Source organism: Homo sapiens, chromosome 22 (genome assembly GCF_000001405.40).
Source record: "Homo sapiens chromosome 22, GRCh38.p14 Primary Assembly".
NCBI lineage: Eukaryota > Metazoa > Chordata > Mammalia > Primates > Hominidae > Homo > Homo sapiens.
Window position 1 is genome coordinate 50,409,326 of NC_000022.11, and position 19,771 is coordinate 50,429,096.

Below are 19,771 nucleotides of genomic sequence, written 5' to 3' on the forward strand. Positions count from 1 at the left end.
TTCCACATCATCTGTTCATGGCTAATCACATTTCTTCTATATCTCTTTATTTGTTTTTCTTCAAGATTATTTTTATGATTCTTTGCCTTTTGATCATGATGATGATGATGATGATTTTTTTGAGGCAGAGTCTTGCTCTGTCGCCAGGCTGAAGTGCAGTGGCGCAATCTCAGCTCACCACAACCTCCGCCTCCCGGGTTCCAGCGATTCTTCTGCTTCAGCCTCCCCAGTAGCCGGGTCTGCAGGCGTGCACCCCCACGCCCAACTAATTTTTGTATTTTTAGTAGAGACAGGGTTTCACCATGTTGGCCAGGATGGTCTCAATCTCTTGACCTCGTGATCCGCCCACCTTGGCCTCCCAAAGTGTTGGGATTACAGGCGTAAGCCACCGCGCCCGGCCGACGATGATGATGATTTTTGAGATGGAGTTTTGCTTTGTTGCCAAGGCTGGAGTGCAGTGGCGTGACCTTGGCTCATTGCAACCTCTGCCTCCAGGGTTCAAGCAATTCTCCTGCCTCAGTCTCCCAAGTAGCTGGGATTACAGGCGCCTGCCACCACACTGGGGTAATTTTTATATTTTTTAGTGGAGACAGAGTTTCACCATGTTGGCCAGGCTTGTCCCAAACTCCTGACCTCAGGTGATCTGCCTGCTTCAGCTTCCCAAAGTGCTGGGATTACAGGTGTGAGCCACTGCACACGGCCTATTTTGTTTTTTGTTTTTATTTTTTTTCTTTTCTATTTTTTAATTTTTGCTTTCTCTTTTTTATTGTTTTAGAATAAGCAAATTTTAGAATGAGTTTGTCACTTTCTACATTCTCCCTCTCCATACCCTGCCCCCCAAAAATAAACCTACTGAAATTTTGATGAGGTTTGCATTGGCTGTAGTTGGGTCTGACAAACTGTGGTCCACAGGCCAAAAGCAGCCATCACTGATTGTGTGAGTGAGGTCTTAGTGTAGCACAGCCACTTCCATTCCTGTGCACGCTGCCCGGGGCTCCTTTCACACCACAGCAGCACAGCTGGTAGCTCAGGCTACTTTGATTTCTCAGAAATACACTGCAGTTCTCTGTATGGCAGTCTTAAGCATCTTTCACTAGATTTATTCTTAGGTATTTGATATCTTTGTATTATTTTGAGTGGTGTCTTTTTTTTTTTTTTTTTTTTTTTTTGAGACGGAGTCTTGCTCTGTCGTCCAGGCTGGAGTGCAGTGGCGCAATCTTGGCTCACTGCAACCTCCACCTCCTGGGTTCAAGCGATTCTCATGGATTCTCGTGCCTCAGCCTCCCGTCTGGGGGATAGAGTGAGATTCTGTCTCCAAAAAAAAGAAAAAAGAACCTCTTATTTTTTTCAAGCCCATAATGATCAATGTATCATATTCACATACATCAGTATTCTAGTTGTGATATTATACTGGTGTTTTAGAAAATGTCACAATTGGAGGAAACATGTCAAAGCATACAAGGATTTTGTTTTTGTTTTCGTTTGAGACAAAGTCTCCCTTTTGTCTCCCAGGCTGGAGTGCAGGGGCACAATCTCGGCTCACTGCAACCTCCGCCCCCTGGTTCAAGTGATTCTCCTGCCTCAGCCTCCCGCGTAGCCAGGATTACAGGTGCCTGCCCCCATGACCCGCTAATTTTTGTATTTTTAGTAGAGATGGGGTTTCACCATGTTGGCAAGGCAGTCTTGAACTCCTGACCTCAGGTGATCCACCGGCCTTGGCCTCCCAAAATGCTGGGATTACAGGTGTGAGCCCCCACACCCGGCCTTTAAATGGTATCTTTTTAATTGAAATTTTGACTGAGATTACTGTATTTACATGAGGTTGTATGAAATAATATGAAGAAAATCCTTGGCCAGGAGCAGTGGCTCACTCCACCCAACACTTTGGGAGGCCGAGGTGAGTGGATCACTTGAGCCCATGAGTTTGAGAGCAGCCTGGCCAACATGCCGAAACCCCGTCTCTACTAAAAATATAAAAATTAGCTGGGTGTGGTGGCACACGCCTGTAATCCCAGCTCCTTGGTGGGGCTGAGACAGGAGAATCACTTGAACCTGAAGGCGGAGGTTGCAGTGAGCCAAGATTGGGCCACTGCACTCCAGCCTAGGTAACAGAGCGAGACTCTGTCTCCAAAAAAAAAGAAAAAAGGCCAGGCGTGCTGGCTCACACCTGTAATCCCAGCATTTTGGGAGGCCAAGGCAAGCGGATTATCTGAGGTCAGGAGTTTGAGACCAGCCTGGCCCAACATGGTGAAACCCTGTCTCTACTAAAAATACAAAAATTAGCTGGGCGTGGTGGCCGGCACCTGTAATCACAGCTACTCAGGAGGCTGAGGCAGGAGAATCACTTGAACCCGAGGGTGGAGGTTGCAGTGAGCCGAGATTGTGACTCTGCACTCCAGCCTGGGCGACAAAGGGGAGACTGTCTCAAACAAAAACAAGGCCTGGCGCAGTGGCTCACGCCTGTAATCCCAGCACTTTGGGAGGCCGAGGCGGGCGGATCACAAGGTCAGGAGATCGAGACCGTCCTGGCTAACACGGTGAAACTCTGTCTCTACTAAAAATACAAAAAATTGGCTGGACGTAGTGATGGGTGCCTGTAGTCCCAGCTACTCGGGAGCCTGAGGCAGGAGAATGGCATGAACCCAGGAGGCGGAGCTTGCAGTGAGCCGAGATTGCGCCACTGCACTCCAGCCTGGGCCAGAGTGAGACTGCATCTCAAAAAAACAAACAAAATCCTTGTATGCTTTGACATGTTTCCTCCAATGGTGACATTTTCTAAAACACTAGTAGAATATCACAACTAGAATATTGATGTGAATGTGTGAATATGATCCATCGATCATTATGGGCTCAAAAAAAATAGAGGTTATTTTTTCTTTTTTTGGAGATAGACTCTCACTCTATCCCCCAGGCTGGAGTGCAGTGGTGTGATCTCGGCTCACTGCAACCTCTGCCTCCTGGGTTCAAGCAATTCTCATGCCTCAACATTCCGAGTAGCTGGGATTACAGCCACCCACCACCACGTCTTGCTAATTTTTATATTTTTAGTAGAGACCATGTTGGCCAGGCTGGCCTTGAACTCCTGAGATCAAGTGATCCGCCTGCCTTGACCTCCCTCAAGTGCCAGGATTACAGGCATGAGCCACCATGCCCAGCCTGGGGTTATTTTTTCTTAAATGTTTGGAAGAATTTATTAGGCCATTAAACCTTCTCTGTATAGAGAGCCTATTAATTATAGATTTTGTGGAGTTTTAGTATGTTCTGGAACTATTCTGATTTTGTTTCTTGTCAGTTTAAATAAGTCCTTTTTTTTTTTTTTTTTTTTTTTTTTTTTGAGACGGAGTCTTGCTCTGTCACCCAGGCTGGAGTGCAGTGGCGTGATCTCGGCTCACTGCAAGCTCTGCCTCCTGGGTTCATGCTATTCTCCTGCCTCAGCCTCCCGAGTAGCTGGGATTACACGTGCCCACCACCATGCCCGGCTAATTTTTTTTGTATTTTTAGTAGAGACGGGGTTTCACCATGTTAGCCAGGATGGTCTTGATCTCCTGACCTCAGGTGATCCACCTGCCTCGTCCTCCCAAAGTGTTGGGATTACAGGTGTGAGCCACTGCGCCTGGCCTAGATAAGTCCTTTTTTTTTTGTTTTTTTTTTTGAGACAGAGTTTTGCTCTTGTTGCCCAGGCTGGAGTGCAATGGTGCGATCTTGGCTTACCGCAATCTCCGCCTCCCAGGTTCAAGCAATTCTGCCTCAGCCTCCCGAGTAGCTGGGATTACAGGCATGCACCACCACGCTTGGCTAATTTTGTATTTTTAGTAGAGACGGGGTTTCCTCCATGTTGAGGCTGGTCTCGACCTCAGTCTGGTCTGACCTCAGGTGATCCACCCACCTCGGCCTCCCAAAGTGCTGGGATTACAGGCGTGAGCCACCGCACCTGGCCAGATAAGTATTTTTTTTCAAGGAAATTTCTTTTCTAAATTTACAAAAACTGGCATAAAATTGTTTCTATTAATTTCTCATAATATAGCAGGTGTGGTGGCTCCTGCTTATTATTACAGCATTTTGGGAGGCTGAGGTGGGAGAATCACTTGAGCTCAGAAGGTGGAGGCTGCAGTGAGTTATGATCGCACCACTGCACTCCAGCCTGGGGGACAGAGTAAGACCTTGTCTCAAAAACATAAAAACAAAACTACAAACCTCTCATAATAGTTTTTATTTCTGTAGGATCTTTGGCGATGCCCCTTGTTTCATTCTTAATATTGTTATTTGTACCTTCTGTTTTGTCCTTCGTCTTTCTAGAAGTTTAATCATCCTTTTCAAAGAGCCATCCTCCTCTCCTCCTCCCCTACCCCCTCCTCTTCCTTCTTCCCCTTCTCTTTTCCCACCACTCCTTTTCCTACTGTCCCTCCTCATTGCAGCACTGGGGAGTGAGGCTGAGGCCCTGCAGCCAGGTGGGCCTTCTCTGTGTTCCCATTGTTTCCAGTGGAGGGCTGGGTCTACCCCAGCCCCCAGCCCAGTAGCCTGGACATAGCAGACACTTATTTCTGTAGGCTGAGTTGAGCTGAATTTGCAGCGAGCCCAGCCTTCACTTCTCCACTGTTACCTTGGATCCGCCGTCTGAGCAGCCCACTGCGTCTGTGATGGGTGCTGTGCCCCCCCATGGCCTCACGCTTAGCTGTCTACACCTTGTTGGCACTGGTCATCAGCCAGCTGCAGGATGCCTCTTTTTCTTTTCTAAAACCTCAGTCTTCTTTCCCCTTCAACCGCTCATGGGTTTTGGTCAGCAGCTGGCGTCTTGTGCACTCTGTGCTCCCTGGATGTGTGTTCTAGGCCTGGGGCTGCCAGTGATGGCCATCAGCTCAGCTCAGCTCTGTCTATACCATTCGTTTCTGTTGGAAAAACCCGAACCAGTAGGTATTGGATGGCAGCTGCTCACGGCAGCCTGTGCTGCCCCACCTGGGACAGCTGTGTCCTGTCGGTGCAGAGCCACAGGGGTCCCTGTGCAGTGGCCCCCCCCCCCCCCCCCCCGCCCAGACCCTCACATACACCACTGCCTGGTAGGACTCTGCCTGTCCCTTGAGGGGGCTTTCTTACAATCTTGTCTGGGTCTTTCCGTTATTTCTGCTTAATATAATTACTAGTTCAACTTTCCCATGAGAGTTTTTGGAGGAGGTGTCTCAGGGTTGTCAGGGTCGGCCCCGCCTGCCTCTCAGGTGTGTGTGATTTCAGGTGATTACGTTTTTGAAGAAGAAGGACAAGTTCATCAGCCTGGTGTTGAAGCACATCGGCACCTCAGCGCTTATGGACCTGCTGCTGCGCCTGGTCAGCTGTGTGGAGCCAGCCGGGCTCCGGCAGGACGTCCTGCACGTGAGTGCGGGAGTCCCCCCCCGTTCCCGAGGGCAGGGGTGCTGCAGGAAGCCAGCTGGTTAAGTGCAGGAGCTCAGAGCACCAGGGCGCCCGGCCCCCATCTCTCCACCTAGCGTGCATTTCTCCGTGGGGCTGTTAGGGGTTCTTGTCAAGGATTGTGGCCTGTACCTTTTCCACTGTCCCGACTTAACTCGCTCAGAAGCACAGAGCAGAGAGGTCCCTTCTCCCCGCAGTCTCCAGCCTCCGGCTCTGTGAAGAGGCCGAAATGGACTTTCCTCGCCTGCCTCCTTTTCCCCTGCCAGCGCCCACCCCTGTGGCTTAGAGCAGGAGGTCAGTGAGGTGCTAGCCCTGCGTCCAGGCCTGTGCCTGCCAGGAGAGCCCCGGTGGACAGCAGTTCCCTGCAGAGCCCCGTTGTTTACCCTGGAGTGTGGATGCGTCTGTTCTGATGGTGTTTAGTCAGTGAGAACAGGTGCTACAGTTCCCGAAAAGAGGAGGATGCCCCCCAGATAAGCCCAGGAAATCCGTGCTGACAAACTTCTGCTCACTGTTCGGCCAGCTTTGTTTGTGGTGAAGTTTAAAATAGAGTAGAGTAAACCCTGAGGCGCTCTGCCTGTTTCCCAGCTCCTGGAATCAGGACTCATCCGATGACCACTCTCACTCTTAGGTTAGTAATGCTTCCTCAGGGAGGAGCTTCTCACCAGGAATGACTGACCGCCACCAACCTTTACACAGTGGACACAGGATCAGTACTAGCTGTGGTCATAGCCGTTAGTGGGAAGCCTGCAGAACTGTACGTCAGGCAGCCTTTTAGCTGCTTTACTTGATTCACTTCACGAAGTAGCCACGGGGGGACAGCTCATCCCATTTTTGGATAAGGAATTTAGGCACAGGGCGCAGCAGTGCGGTGCGGTAGCCAGGTACGGCCCAGGCCTGCCAGACCCCGACACTCACACTGGGCCCCCGTTGCCCTTGAGCTTTACCCCACAGTGTTCGTGTAGCCTCTCCAGGGTGGAGTTACTCTTCCTCAACATGGGAAGGCCCCAGTGCTGCAGGGAACAGCTGAGGCTTCTCTGGCTTCAGCATCCAGCGGGGCTCCTGAGCTATAGCTTGTGTGGCTCATTTGCACCCTGGTCCTTAAGAGAGAAGTCCTGAAGACAGAGCTTACATACGCACCATTAGGACAGAGGGATGGTGGTCATCCTTTATCATCTTTTGAGCCACTCCCAGAACCTCCCAGAACTCAGTCATTGTGTGTTATGTGTGTTCTTTCTGGGTCTGGGGTGTGTCAGGCAAAGAGTCTATATTCTAGAAAACGGGTGCAGTGCTGCACCAAAGGGGAAAGGTTCCTGTTGTTTACTTAGACTTGAGCAGCGACACTGAAAGGCCTCTTTTTCTCTTTCAGTGGCTGAATGAAGAGAAGGTCATCCAGAGGCTTGTGGAGTTGATCCACCCGAGCCAGGATGAAGATGTGAGTGTGCTGCTTACCGAGCTTCGTGCATCAGTCCAGGCCTGTGCTGCCAGGTCACCCACTGCTGCGGGCCAGGGGGCGAGGGAGGGCAAGTCATCCCTTTCCTAAGATGAGGATCGGTTAGGTACTTTTCTTTCTTTAATCAAGCACTGACTTCTAGGCTGGATTTTTTTTTTCTTTTTTTTTTTGAGATGGCGTTTCGCTCTTGTTGCCTGGGCTGGAGTGCAGTGGTGCAATCTCGGCTCACCACAACCTCCGCCTCTTGGGTTCAAGCAATTCTCCTGCTCACCCAGTCGGGTGAGCCACCACACCCAGCCTCTAGGCTGTTTTCTTCTTGTTGTTGTTGTTGTTTAAATAGAGATGAGGTCTCACTACATTGCTCAGGCTGGTCTCAAAAACCTGGCCTCAAGTGATCCTCCTACCTCAGCCTCCTAAAGTGCTGTGGTTACAGGAGTGAGCCACCATGCCTGGCCTACACTTTTTTTTCTTAACTGAAAAATAATCTATGTGTATTATAAAAATAGGACAGGCGCGGTGGCTCATGCCTGTAATCCCAGCACTTGGGGAGGCTGAGGCGGGCCGATCACTTGAGGTCAGGAGTTTTGAGACCAGCCTGGCCAACGTGGCGAAACCCTGTCTCTACTAAAAATTAGCGAAGTGTGGTGTCAGGTGCCTGTAATCCCAGCCACTCAGGAAGCTGAGGCACAAGAATCACTTGAACCCAGGAAGGGGAGCTTGCAGTGAGCCGAGATCACACCACTGTGCTCCAGCCTGGGCGACAGTGAGATTCTGTCTCAACAAACAAGCAAACCAAAGAACAATTCTAATAGAATTGTATCAGTCGTCTGTGACCGAATAGCAAATTACCCTGAAATGTAGTTGCTTATGGCAAGTATTTTTACCTGTAGCAGTATCAGTTTCTGTGGATCAGGCGTCTGAATGTGGCTTAGTGGCTCTTCTGTTGAGTCTCACAAAATACAGTCATCTCAGAGCTCCACTGGGGTAGAGGCCAGCTCCATGGTCACAGATGGCTTGGCAGCATCCAGTTCCTCAGGGCTGTGGGCCGAGGCCGCCCTCAGCATTGCACCACATGGGCGTCTCCACAGGGCAGCACACAACGTGGAGCTGAGCTTTCCCCTCACTCTTAATGTATTTGGCTCTTTAGACCTGGGTGGCTGGGTCCAGCCCACACTAAAAGAGATGGGGGCTATAAAGGCATGAACTCCAGGACGGGATTGCTAGGGGCCCCCTAGGAGCCACCCACCCTGGAAGCACCTAAGGTGACAATGGGGCTCCCTGTGGTGATCCCTGTTGAGAGTTTGGGGTATATCCCAGTAGGCCTTTTCCTAGCATTACACATACCGATCTATACATACAACCACGTGTCCTTGGCAGATTGGAAAACAGTGGTGCTGACTCGTGTCTGAGGCCTTCACCGCTGCCTGGCCAACCACCCTACTTTGTTCTCCATCAGCCCACAGGGCTGATCAGACAGACAGGAGAGGCCACGTTGGCGTCTGTAGGAAACAAGGAGGCCGCCCTGCCTGATGTTGGCGTCTGTAGGAAGCAAGGAGGCCGCCCTGCCTGAGAACTGGAGCCCACCCATGCATGTGGGTGTTGTGGGCTGATGGCCTGGCCTGGGTCCCAAAGGCAGACCTGAGAGCTAATCTGGCTGCTTTCTTTTCTCCCTAAAATACTCCTGTGAGTGTTTGCTTTCCCTCAGTCTTCCCACAGCATGTGAACCAATGCTGCAGGGAGTCAGGGGTTGTTTCTCTCTTAATCACATTTGTCTTACCTACAGAACAGCCCTACATTGTCAGCAGGGGCACGTTCCCATCACGGATTGCGTGTTAATGTTTCCCTAGAAAAGATGAGTCCTCTGTTTTCTTGGTAGCAACTTCCCTATTTTCATTAGCTTACAGGACTCATTCTGAATAATAGCAGCTACTTATTACCACATTTAAAATATAGTATCAGTAACATGGCCACATATTCAGCATATTTCAAAACGTGGATCACAGGTATAGCCCAGTATCTGCATTGCATATCTGACCATTATTAGCCCTGTTTTGAATTCCTGAAGATAGTTCAATGCAGCTTTAAAAAAAAGAAAACTCTAACCAGATCTACATTTTGACGACAGAAAAGGCAGACACAGGCTTCTTTGAAATGAAGCTGTTGTCTGGAATCTTTCTTTGTAGGAAACTGGTTTAGAGAAAGTCCCACATCTTTTTCTTTTTTTTTTTGAGATGGAGTCTCGCTCTGTCACCCAGGCTGGAGTGCAGTGGTGCGATCTTGGCTCACTGCAAGCTCCTTCTCCCAGGTTCAAGCCATTCTCCTGCCCTCAGCCAACCGAGTAGCTGGGACTACAGGCACCCGCCACCACGCCCGGCTAATTTTTTGTATTTTTAGTAGAGATGGGGTTTCACCGTGTTAGCCAGGATGGTCTTGATCTCCTGACCTGATGATCTGCCTGCCTTGGCCTCCCAAAGTGCTAGGATTACAGGCCTGAGCCATTGTGCCTGGCCAAAAGTCCCACATCTTAAAAAAAAAGAAAAAGTATTTGAACATCACAGTGGTATTGAACAACAACGAAAGTCTAGCATCTGCCAGAGAAGCAGCAGGACTTGTGCCCTGTGTGCCCAGCAGGGCTGGTCCTGCTGTTTCTTCTCCACACTGAGGGACTCTGTGTTTCCCTTGTCTTTTCAGAGGCAGTCAAATGCTTCTCAGACTCTCTGTGACATAGTTAGGCTGGGCAGAGACCAGGGCAGTCAGCTGCAAGAGGCTCTGGAGCCAGACCCGCTCCTCACAGCGCTGGAGTCGTGAGTGCTGGTGGGCCGTGGTGCTGGTGGGCCTCCCTTTCTGGGTCATGGGGACGTCTGTGAGCCTTGCTCTGAGCACCAGGATATGTTGCCACCTCCTCTGATTCACATTCGAATGAACCCCAGGTTCAGAGCCCATGTTAACTTGGGGCCTGTTTCCAGAGGGAGGGGTCTCCAGAGGAGTCACCTGGTGGGTCTAGAGAGTGGGCCAGCAGCAGCAGGAGTGTCCTGAGAACCCTGGCGCCTTGCCTTGAGCCTGAGCAGGTTGAGGGTTTTGCTGGGGTCCTCCACGGGGAGGAAGGAGCATCCTTGCATCCTTTGTGTGTGTGTCTGCTCTGCCAGGCAGTGACCTCTGTGTGTGTCCAGCAGGCAGGACTGTGTGGAGCAGCTTCTGAAGAACATGTTTGATGGAGACCGGACGGAGAGCTGCCTCGTCAGTGGGACTCAGGTGTTACTCACCTTGCTGGAAACCAGGCGGGTTGGGTGAGTCTCACGAGGAGAAATCGTGTAGAGCTGAACTTGACGCCTCAGTGATATGGCAGCCCACACGAGCAGTCTGGATTATGTCATTTGTGGTTTTAATTTTTGATTATGCAAGTAACAACATGGATAGATTCCCCTTGTTGAAGGCTTGACTTTATGGCTGTGGCCAAGTCCCCTTAGACCCTCATCATCACTGGTGCTCCCTCTCCAGCCTGAAGCTGCTCGTCACGACCAGTTGGCGATGCATTTGTCGATGTGCGTGGAACAGGTGTGGTTGGCAGGTTTTCCCCAAGGACTGTTCCGACAAGTCCCCACAGCTCCCGTGTGTGTTTGTGTGTGTGTCGCAGGGTTTCCACTCTGATGCATGGTTACATATACATGTGTTTATCTCCCATGCAGACTGGCCCTCACAGGGCAGGGGTGTGACACTCACCGCTGTCTCCCGTGCCCTGTGCACCCACGGGTCGGCACCGCCTGCTGAGCGTCGTGCTGAGCACTTTTTTCCCAGGCGACTCTCCTCCATTGCCCTTTCTCATTCATCAGGTGTCATTTCTGCACCCACTGTGCACTAACACGGGCCCGAGGAGACAGAGAACTGAGACACAGCCCCTCCCCTTTAATTGCTCCCAGTCTGGCACAGGAGGCCCGTCTGTGGACAGCGAGGGTGATGCAGAGTGGCGAGTGCAGTAGACATGCACCCAGTGCCTCGGGGCTCACAAGAAGGGACCCACATGGGGCTGGTGGGTGGAGCCTCGCAGTCAGGGACATTTTCCCTGAGAGGCCGCATCTGGTCAGACACAGCTCCTTGGATGAGGCAGTGAGGGGGTCCCAGTGTGGACACAAGCATGGGGCAGTATGTGGCAGAGGAGAGTGGAGCTTGCTTGGAGGTGCTCCTTTGCTGTGACCCCACATCGCTGTCCTGAGGTGCAGCTGTCGGAGGCTGCTGAGTCACGACAGTGAATGGGCAGAGACAGAGGAGTCAGCAGCAGAAGAGTGAGTTCGGGTGAAAGTTGAGTTTGTTTGAGGATATAGGTGCTGGAGACCCTTCTCTGACCCCCAGTAGAAATTTCAGGAAGTGTTTGAAACTGTTTCTCTGGATCATAGTGTGGCCTAGTCCTTCCCTCAAGTCATAGAAGGCTGGGCACTGCCAGAGCCGTTCAAGCAGTTGAAACTCCAAAGAGGATGCCCATGAGGCGCAAATGGAAAGACAGCCGAGTGGAGTCTGTGAGGGAGGCATTGGCACAAGGGGGTGTGGTTGGCCCGCCAGGTGCCCAGGAGATCCTATAGGGTGTGTCCCAAAAGGGCCACATCAGTGTCCTCTGGGCACTTCCCCTCCTGGCCTCACCCTGGCCCTTGAACCCCATCTCTGGATTCAGGTTCCCCACATGCCGGCAGGAACCTGATGTCTCAGGACGTTTCCGTCGTCTCCGTTCCATCACAGGCTGGGACGATGTCTAACTCTCCCAAGGTGGCCGTAGCTCCCTTATTTCCACGTTCTGGGGAGAACATAATTCAGCCCCCAACACTGATAGCCTGTGCTTTTTTAAAGTGAAAGAAAAAGGAACAATGAGAAAATGATAAGAAATTGACTTAACCTTGATAGTGAGGTTGTTAGGACTCTCTTTCTCTCTCTCTCTCTCTCTCTGTCTGTCTCTGGTAGTACCTAATACATATTTGTTAGTTTATTAACCAGAAGTAGTGTTATAATGTTACCGTTTTCTCTAGTTAGGCAACTGGAATATTGATATTTTAATCTTCATAAACCCAGGAAAGCTGAGCCACTTCTGAGGCCCAAGCTTAACCCTGTATGTGATAGAGGGGACTGTGTAAAAATCAGGAAAACAGAGATAAGCCAGCTGTTTCTCTTAGATTATTGTGATTATTATTATTATTATTTTCAGACAGTGTCTTGCTCTGTCACCCACGTGGGAGTACAGCAGCACGATCATATCTCAGCGTGGCCTCAGAGTCCTGAGCTCAAGCGATCCTCCCACCTGTCCCCCCCAAAGTGCTGGGATTATAGGTGTGAGCCACTGCACCTGGCTCTCTGATTTTTAAAATTATTTTGCATATTACTTTAAAAAATATATGATTACGTATTACTTTTACAACTGGAAAGAGTGTTTAAATAAATATCTCAGAAGACTTGCTTGAAAACACCACAGGGGGTAGGCGCAGTGGCTCACGCTTGTAATCCCAGCACTTTGGGAGGCCAAGGCGGGTGGATCACCTGAGGTCAGGTGATCGAGACCAGCCTGGCCAACATGGCAAAATCCTGTCTCTACTAAAAATACAAAAAGGAGGCTGAGGCAGGAGAATCGCTTGAACCCAGGAGGTGGAGGTTGCAGTGAGCTAAGATCGCACCATCGCACTCCAGCCTGGGTGACAGAGCGAGACTCTGGCTCAAAAAAAATAAAAATAAATAAAAATAAAAGTCGACACAGGAACAGTGAAAGAGACAGGGATAGCAGTGAAGGTTTTAAAAGTGGGACAGAGCAGGACCTCTAACTGGTGCTAGGGCCAGTGAGTCCTGTGTTGTGTCACTTGCCCTGCCTCCATATTCTCGGATGTCGCAAGCAAGCATCTGCCTGAAGGTCTTTAGTACCTTTCTCTTCTGCCTGTACCAGTCACCAGATCACGTGTGGAGACGCTGGGTAGCTGCACTGCTCTAGGGTTTCTTTTTGGGAAAGTTAAAAGGGCTCTTTCTGGAAGAAGCGGGTGCACTGAGTTGCTGGTGAGGTTGGACAGGGTCCTGGTGTCCCCGGTCTCCATCTGCTTTCCTCATCCACAGGACAGAGGGCTTGGTGGACTCCTTTTCTCAGGGACTGGAAAGGTCATACGCTGTCAGCAGCAGCGTACTACACGGCATCGAGCCTCGGCTGAAGGACTTCCACCAGCTCCTGCTCAACCCGCCCAAGGTAAATGGCCGTGGCGACTGCTGAGTGCCTTTGGAGGCGTCGCAGGAGAGGTTGATTTGCAGGGAGGAGAAGCCACAGCTTGTCCCATAGGTAGCAGAGTGTGGAGTGAATGTGTTCTAAGACGGCCATTCCCACACCCCCACTTGAGAAGCACCGGGCAGGTGCCAAAACACATTTTCAGGACTGCCCCTCCCAGATCTGCAAATGCTCATCTCTGCCTCTGCAAATGACCCCGAGGTCACCATAAGCCTGGCCTCCAAGTTGGGGGCACCTAGCTAAGGGGTGCTCGGCTCCTGAGAGGGGACCAGGGGGTGGCAGGGGAGGCCCTTTGCCCTGCTCAGCAGCATGTTGAGGGGGGTGAGGCACACAAAGGCTCCTCCTGGTTCAGACTGCCAGCCAGGCAACTCCCCATCCCGTCTCACCCTCCCCAGACACAACCCGACCCCTGCTGCATAGCACCCTCCTGACCTATAGCTCAGTTCCTCTCACTCGCCACCTTGGTAAGATCCACCTGTCCCACTAGCGAGCTCTGTGGGGGCCAAGATTCTGTTTTGTCAGCTGGAGGTTTCAGTGAAGAGAAGGTAGGTGCAGTAGGCTGAGTGTGGGGGATCAGAAAAGACCGCGGTCCATCGGAGGAGGCATTCCCGTCAGTGTCCCCAAAGTGTGTTCATGGGACACTTGTTAGCTTGGTGTTCTGAGATTGTGGCCGCAGAGGGACCCCCACTGGGCATCCTCAGTGAGGCATCGTGCCAAGGGCTCTGGCCTTAGACCGGTACTGCTGGCCCCATCTTGGACATCTCACCCGCTGAGGTGCACGGCTCTCTGGCCCTGCAGGCTCAGACTGGAGTGCCCGTGAGCATCCTGGGAGCACTCTCTGAAGCCCTGAGGGGAGCAGCAGGCTCTTCACCCCATTGATGCCTTCATTTCTTCTGGCAGACGGCCCTCCCTGAGGAACCCCCACCACATACCTCGCTACCCCAGGCTGGGTCCCAGCCTAGAGTGATGGGCATGAGCCCAGAGACTCCAGCAGTGGCCTCACTGCTCACAGGGCCTAACTGGGTGGTGCCTTCTGTGTTTGCAGAAGAAAGCGATCCTGACCACCATTGGTGTGCTGGAGGAGCCCCTGGGGAATGCCCGTCTGCATGGCGCCCGCCTCATGGCAGCACTGCTGCACACAAACACACCCAGCATCAACCAGGAGCTCTGCCGGCTCAACACGATGGACTTACTGCTGGTAAGTGGGCCCCTCAGCCAGCCCTGCATGTCTGTGAGTGTGCCGGGCATGGCCTGTGGACTTGTCAGGAGCAGCAGAGCAGGGCCCCAGCATTTGGACAAAGCTCTGCCACGGGGAGGTTCCAGTCCCAAGTCCCAAGGCTGGACTACAGGTCTCTGGCGGGGCACAGAGCAGCAGTGGGGTGTGTCTCAGCTGCAGGCTCATGGGAAGTGACGAGTCTACCGTAGAATTGCCCTGAAAGCAGAAGGCGGATTTCTAACCCGGTTTGATGGAATAGAGTGACACGTCTACCTCCTTTCTCATGTTCTGACTGAACAACATAGAACTTACACGGTGGTTATTAGGTATAAAATGGCTAAAAGAGAAGCTCCTGTCGTCCACAGTAGAAGGCCAACCTGGCAGTTTTTGTCAAAGCCAGCGGGCAGTGCCTCTCCATCCCGCAGACGGCTTGCATGATGCTCCAGGTGGCTGAGGAGAGGAAGGGGCAGGCGGTGCTGGCAAGTAGTGCCAGTGAGCAGCCCTGGCTGTGGGTGGCGGGCTCCTCTGCGGAGAGCATGAGGCTGCTCCCCTGAGAACGAAGGGCACTGCCCTAGTGGGTCCTGTTGGCAGACGCAGCCCCCGTCTTCTGCCTGGCTCTGGGGCTCTGCTGGAATCTCCCTGCAATCTTAGTCCCAGAACTGGGCTCGAAGTGCTGTCTGGCTCAGTTCTGTCAGCGTGTGGAAGGTCTGTCCGCGTGTGGAAGGTCCGTCCGCGTGTGGAAGGTCCGTCCGCGTGTGGAAGGTCCGTCAGTGTGTGGAAGGTCCGTCCGCGTGTGGAAGGTCCGTCCGCGTGTGGAACGTCTGTCAGCGTGTGGAAGGTCCGTCCGCGTGTGGAACGTCTGTCAGCGTGTGGAAGGTCTGTCCGCGTGTGGAACGTCTGTCAGCGTGTATGAGTTCTGGGCACTGCTTTGGCTGTGAGATCCCAGTCTGCATCAGGGAAGCAATTACAAAAGAGACCTACTTTCCTTTTCCCTCTTCTTCTTTTTTTTTTTTTTTTTTTTTTTGAGATGGAGTCTCTCTCTGTCGCCAGGCTGGAGTGCAGTGGCGGGACCTTGGCTCACTGCAATCTCCGACTCCCTGGTTCAAGCGATTTTCCTGCCTCAGCCTCCCGAGTAGCTGAGATTACAGGCATGCGCCACCATGCCCAGCTAATTTTTTTTTGTATTTTTAGTAGAGACGGGGTTTCACCGTGTTGGCCAGGATGGTCTCAAACTCCTGACCTCGTGATCCACCCGCCTTGGCCTCCCAAAGTGCTGGGATTACAGGCTTGAGCCACTGCACCCAGCCCCTTTTCCTTCTTCAAAAGAATTCTGTCTTCCACTTTCTTCCTCTCTTTTATATTTACTGTGGTAAAATATCATAACATAAACTTGGCTGTTTTAACTATTTTAAGGTGTGTCACTCAGTGCATTCACAATCTTGTATAGCCATTACCATTATTCACATCTAGAAGTTTTTCATTTTCCCAAACAGAAACTCTCTCCGTTAAACACTAACTCCCCATTCATTCTCCCTCTCCACAGTCTCTGGCAACCACCATTGTCTTTGTCTCTGAATTTGACTATTCTAGGTACAGTTTATGAGTGGAATCATAAAGTATTATCTTTTTGTGACTGACTTATTTCACTTAGCACTATGTGCCCAAGGTTCATTCAGTATTGTACTGTATGTCCAAATTTCCTTCCTTTTTAAGGCTGAAAAATTACTGTGTGGGTGGGCCACATTCTGTCCATTCATCCATCCATCAGTGGAGACTTGGGTTGCTTCCAGCCTTGGCTATTGTGAATAACACTGCTGTATATGTGGGTGTACAAATACCTGTTTGAGTCCTTACTTTCAGTTCTTCTGAAAGTAAGAAGAAGTTCTTCTGGATAAATACCTATGAGGCCAGGTCATGTGACAATTCCATGATTAAGTTTTGAGGCCAGACCTTTCCACAGTGGCTGCACCATTTTATCTTCCTGTCAACAAAGTCTCCCCTTTCTCCTCATCCTCCCCCTCATCCCGCCGACACTTGTCTTCCTTCTTCTGATGCTCGTCATCTGATGTGCGTGTGGAACGGTGTCTCCGTGTGGCTGATGCTCGTCATCTGATGTGCGTGTGGAACAGTGTCTCCGTGTGACAAGTGATGTCGAGCATCTTCTCGTGCTTTTTGGCCATGTGAATAGCTTCGTTGGAGAAATGTCTATTCAAGTCCTTTGACCATTTTTGAATTGAGTTTTTTTTTTGTTTTTTTTTTTTAGTTTTAGAAGTTCTATATATATTCTGGATATTAATCCTTTATCAGATATATGCAAATATTTTCTTTGGGTTATCTTTTTACATAAAAAATTTTTTTTAGATGTAGGGTCTTGCAGTACAGTGATCATAGCTTCCTGTAACCTTGAACTCCTGGGCTCAAGTGATCCTCCCACCTCAGCCTCCTGAGTAGCTAAGACTGCAGGCATGCGCCACCACATCCAGCTAATTTTTATATTTTTTGTAGAGATGGGGTCTCGCTATGTTGATCAGGCTGGCCTTGAACTCCTGACTTCAAGTGATGCTCCGGCCGTGGCCTCCCAAAGTGCTGGAATTATAGGCGTGAGCCACCAGCCACCCAGCCTTTACTCCTTGATAATGACCTTTGACACACAAGTTTTAAATTTTGATGAAATCCAATTATCTTTTTTTCTCTGTTGCCTGTGCTTTCGGTGTCATATCCAAAAAAGTCATTGCCAAATCAGTATCATGAAGCTTTTCCTCTATGCTTCCTTCAAAAAGTTGTATGTTTTCTCTCTTATGTTTAGGTCTTTAATCCATTTTGAATTAATTTTTGTATCTGGTGTAAAGTAAGGGTCCAGCTTCATTCTTTTGCATGGGGTTATCCAGTTTTCCCAGCACTTGTTGAAAAGACTGTCCTAGGCCGGGCACGGTGGTTCACGCCTGTAAACCCAGTATTTTGGGAGGCCAAGGCAGGCAGATCACCTGAGGTCAGGAGTTTGTGACCAGCCTGGCCAATGTGGCGAAACCCCATGTCTACAAAAAATACAAAAATTAGCCAGGCATGGTGGCAGCGCCTGTAATCCCAGCTACTTGGGAGGCTGAGGCAGGAGAATCACTTGAACCTGGGAGGCGGAGGTTGCAGTGAGCCAAGATCACACCACTGCACTCCAGCCTGGGTGACAGAGCGAGATTCTGTTTCAAAAAAAAAAAAAAAAAACACCGTCCTTTCCCCCATGAATGGTCTCGGCCTAATTGTTAAAAACCAGCTGGCCGGCCGGGCGCAGTGGCTCATGCCTGTAATCCCAGCACTTTGGGAGGCTGAGGTGGGTGGATCATGAGGTCAGGAGATTGAGACCATCCTGGCCAACATAGTGAAACCCCGTCTCTGCTAAAAATATGAAAAAATTAGCTGGGTGTGGTGGCATGTGCCTGTAGTCCCAGCTACTTGGGAGGCTGAGGCAGGAGAATGGTGTGAACCCGGGAGGTGGAGCTTGCAGTGAGCCGAGATTGTGCCACTGCACTCCAGCCTGGGCAACAGAGCGAGATTCCATCTCAAAAAAAAAAAAAAAACAGCTGGTGATGTGTGCAAAGGTTTCTTTCTGGACTCTCTGTTCTGTTTCGTTGGTTTATATGTCTGTCCTTATGCCAGTGTCGCACTGTTTTGGTGACTGTAGCTTTGTAGTAAGTGATAAGTGTGAGTTTTCCAACTTTGTTCTTTTTCCAGATTGTTTTGGCTATTCAAAGTCATCCCGTGAGATTCTGTATGAATTTGGGGATGGGTTTTTCAATGTTTGCAAAATTGCTGTTCAGATTTTGGTAGGGATTGCATTGAATTTATAGATCACTTTGGGTAATACTGTCTTCTTAACAATATTAAGTCTTCAATCCATGAACACAGATGTGTTCCTATGTATTTATTTATTTATTTCTATTTTTGAGACAGAACCTCACCCTGTTGCCCAGGCTGGAGTGCAGTGGCGCAATCTCGGCTCACCGCAACCTTTGCCTCCCGGGTTCAAACAAGTCTCCTGCCTCAACCTCATGAGTACCTGGGATTACAGGTGCCCGCCACCACAAAATAATTTTTGTTTTGTTTTGTTTTTTTTGAGACCGAGTCTCGCTGTCGCCCAGGCTGGAGTGCAGTGGCGCGATCTCGGCTCACTGCAGGCTCCGCCCCCCAGGTTCACGCCATTCTCCTTCCTCAGCCTCCCAAGTAGCTGGGACTACAGGTGCCTGCTACCTCGCGTGGCTAATTTTTTGTATTTTTAGTAGAGACAGGGTTTCACCATATTAGCCAGGACGGTCTCGATCTCCTGACCTCGTGATCCGCCCACCTTGGCCTCCCAAAGTGCTGGGATTATAGGCGTGAGCCACCACGCCCAGCCAATTTTTATATTTTTAGTAGAAATGGGGTTTCACCATGTTGGCCAGGTTGGTCTCAAACTCCTGACCTCAAGTGATCTGCCCACATTGGCCTCCCAAAGTGCTGGGATTATAGGCATGAGCCACCGTGCCTGGCCCCATTTACTTTAAATAGGTCTTTAAATTCTTGTAGCAGTGTTTTGTAGTTTTCAGTGTACAAATCTTTTATCTCCTTGACTTAATTCTTCTGGATGCTGTCATATATAAAATTGTTTTCTTACTTTCCTTTTTGGATTATTCAGTGCTAGTGTATGGAAATGCAGCTGCTTTTTTGTGTGTCAATTTTGTATTCTAGAACTTTGCTGAATTCATTTATTAGCTCTAGCAATTTATCTGGAATATTTAGAATTTTCTATGTGTAAGATCATATCAGGTCAGGTGTGGTGGCTCATGTTTGTAATCCCAGCACTTTGGGAGGCCTACACAGGAGGATTGCTTGAACCCAAGAGTTTAAGACCAGCCTGGGCAACATAGTGAGACCTGGTCTCTACAAAATAAATAAGAATAAAAATTAGGCAGGTGTGGTGGCACAGATCTGTAGTCCCAGCTATTCAGGAGACTGAAGAGGGAGGATCACTTGAGTCTGGGAGGTCAGGGCTGCAGAGCCGAGATCACGCCACTGTGTGTACTTCAGCCAGGGCAACAGAGCAAGATCCTTGCTCAAAAAAAAAATACATATTCTAAAAAAAAAAATCATGTCATTTGGGAACAAAGATAATTTTACTTTTGCCTTTACCATTTGGATGCCTTTTATTTCTTTTTCTTGCCTAATTGCTCTGGCTGGGACTGCTAAGAGAAGACCGAATAGCAGTGGTGAGAGTGGGCATCCTTGCCTCGCTCCTGATCTTAGAGAAGCTTTCAGTCTTTCAGCATTGAATATGTTGTCAGCTATGGGCTTTTCATAGGTGCCTTTATCATACTGAAGATATTTCCTTCTATTCCTAGTTTGAGTGTTCTATCAAGAAAGTATGTTGAATTTTTTTTTTTTTTTGAGACAGAGTTTTGCTCTTGTTGCCCAGGCTGGAGTGCAGTGGCATGAT

At 50.0% G+C, this 19,771-nt stretch overlaps 1 protein-coding gene across 61 annotated transcripts in view; it reads left to right on the top strand.

The window, feature by feature from the left end:
• PPP6R2 (protein phosphatase 6 regulatory subunit 2) overlaps positions 1-19,771 on the top strand; it is a 114,317-nt gene that overhangs the window by 78,552 nt on the left and 15,994 nt on the right. For 38 of the 61 annotated variants that reach the window (XM_047441654.1, XM_047441659.1, NM_001365836.1 and 35 more), the window contains 6 exons: positions 5,227-5,364; positions 6,767-6,832; positions 9,542-9,654; positions 10,024-10,137; positions 12,929-13,055; positions 14,137-14,289. In XM_047441654.1, coding sequence (XP_047297610.1) covers positions 5,227-5,364; positions 6,767-6,832; positions 9,542-9,654; positions 10,024-10,137; positions 12,929-13,055; positions 14,137-14,289 — 711 coding nt within the window. Of the gene's footprint in view, positions 1-5,226; positions 5,365-6,766; positions 6,833-9,541; positions 9,665-10,020; positions 10,138-12,928; positions 13,056-14,136; positions 14,290-19,771 lie in introns of those variants that run through there. The other 23 variants (XM_047441645.1, XM_011530737.3, XM_011530732.3 and 20 more) reach the window with 4 other exon arrangements.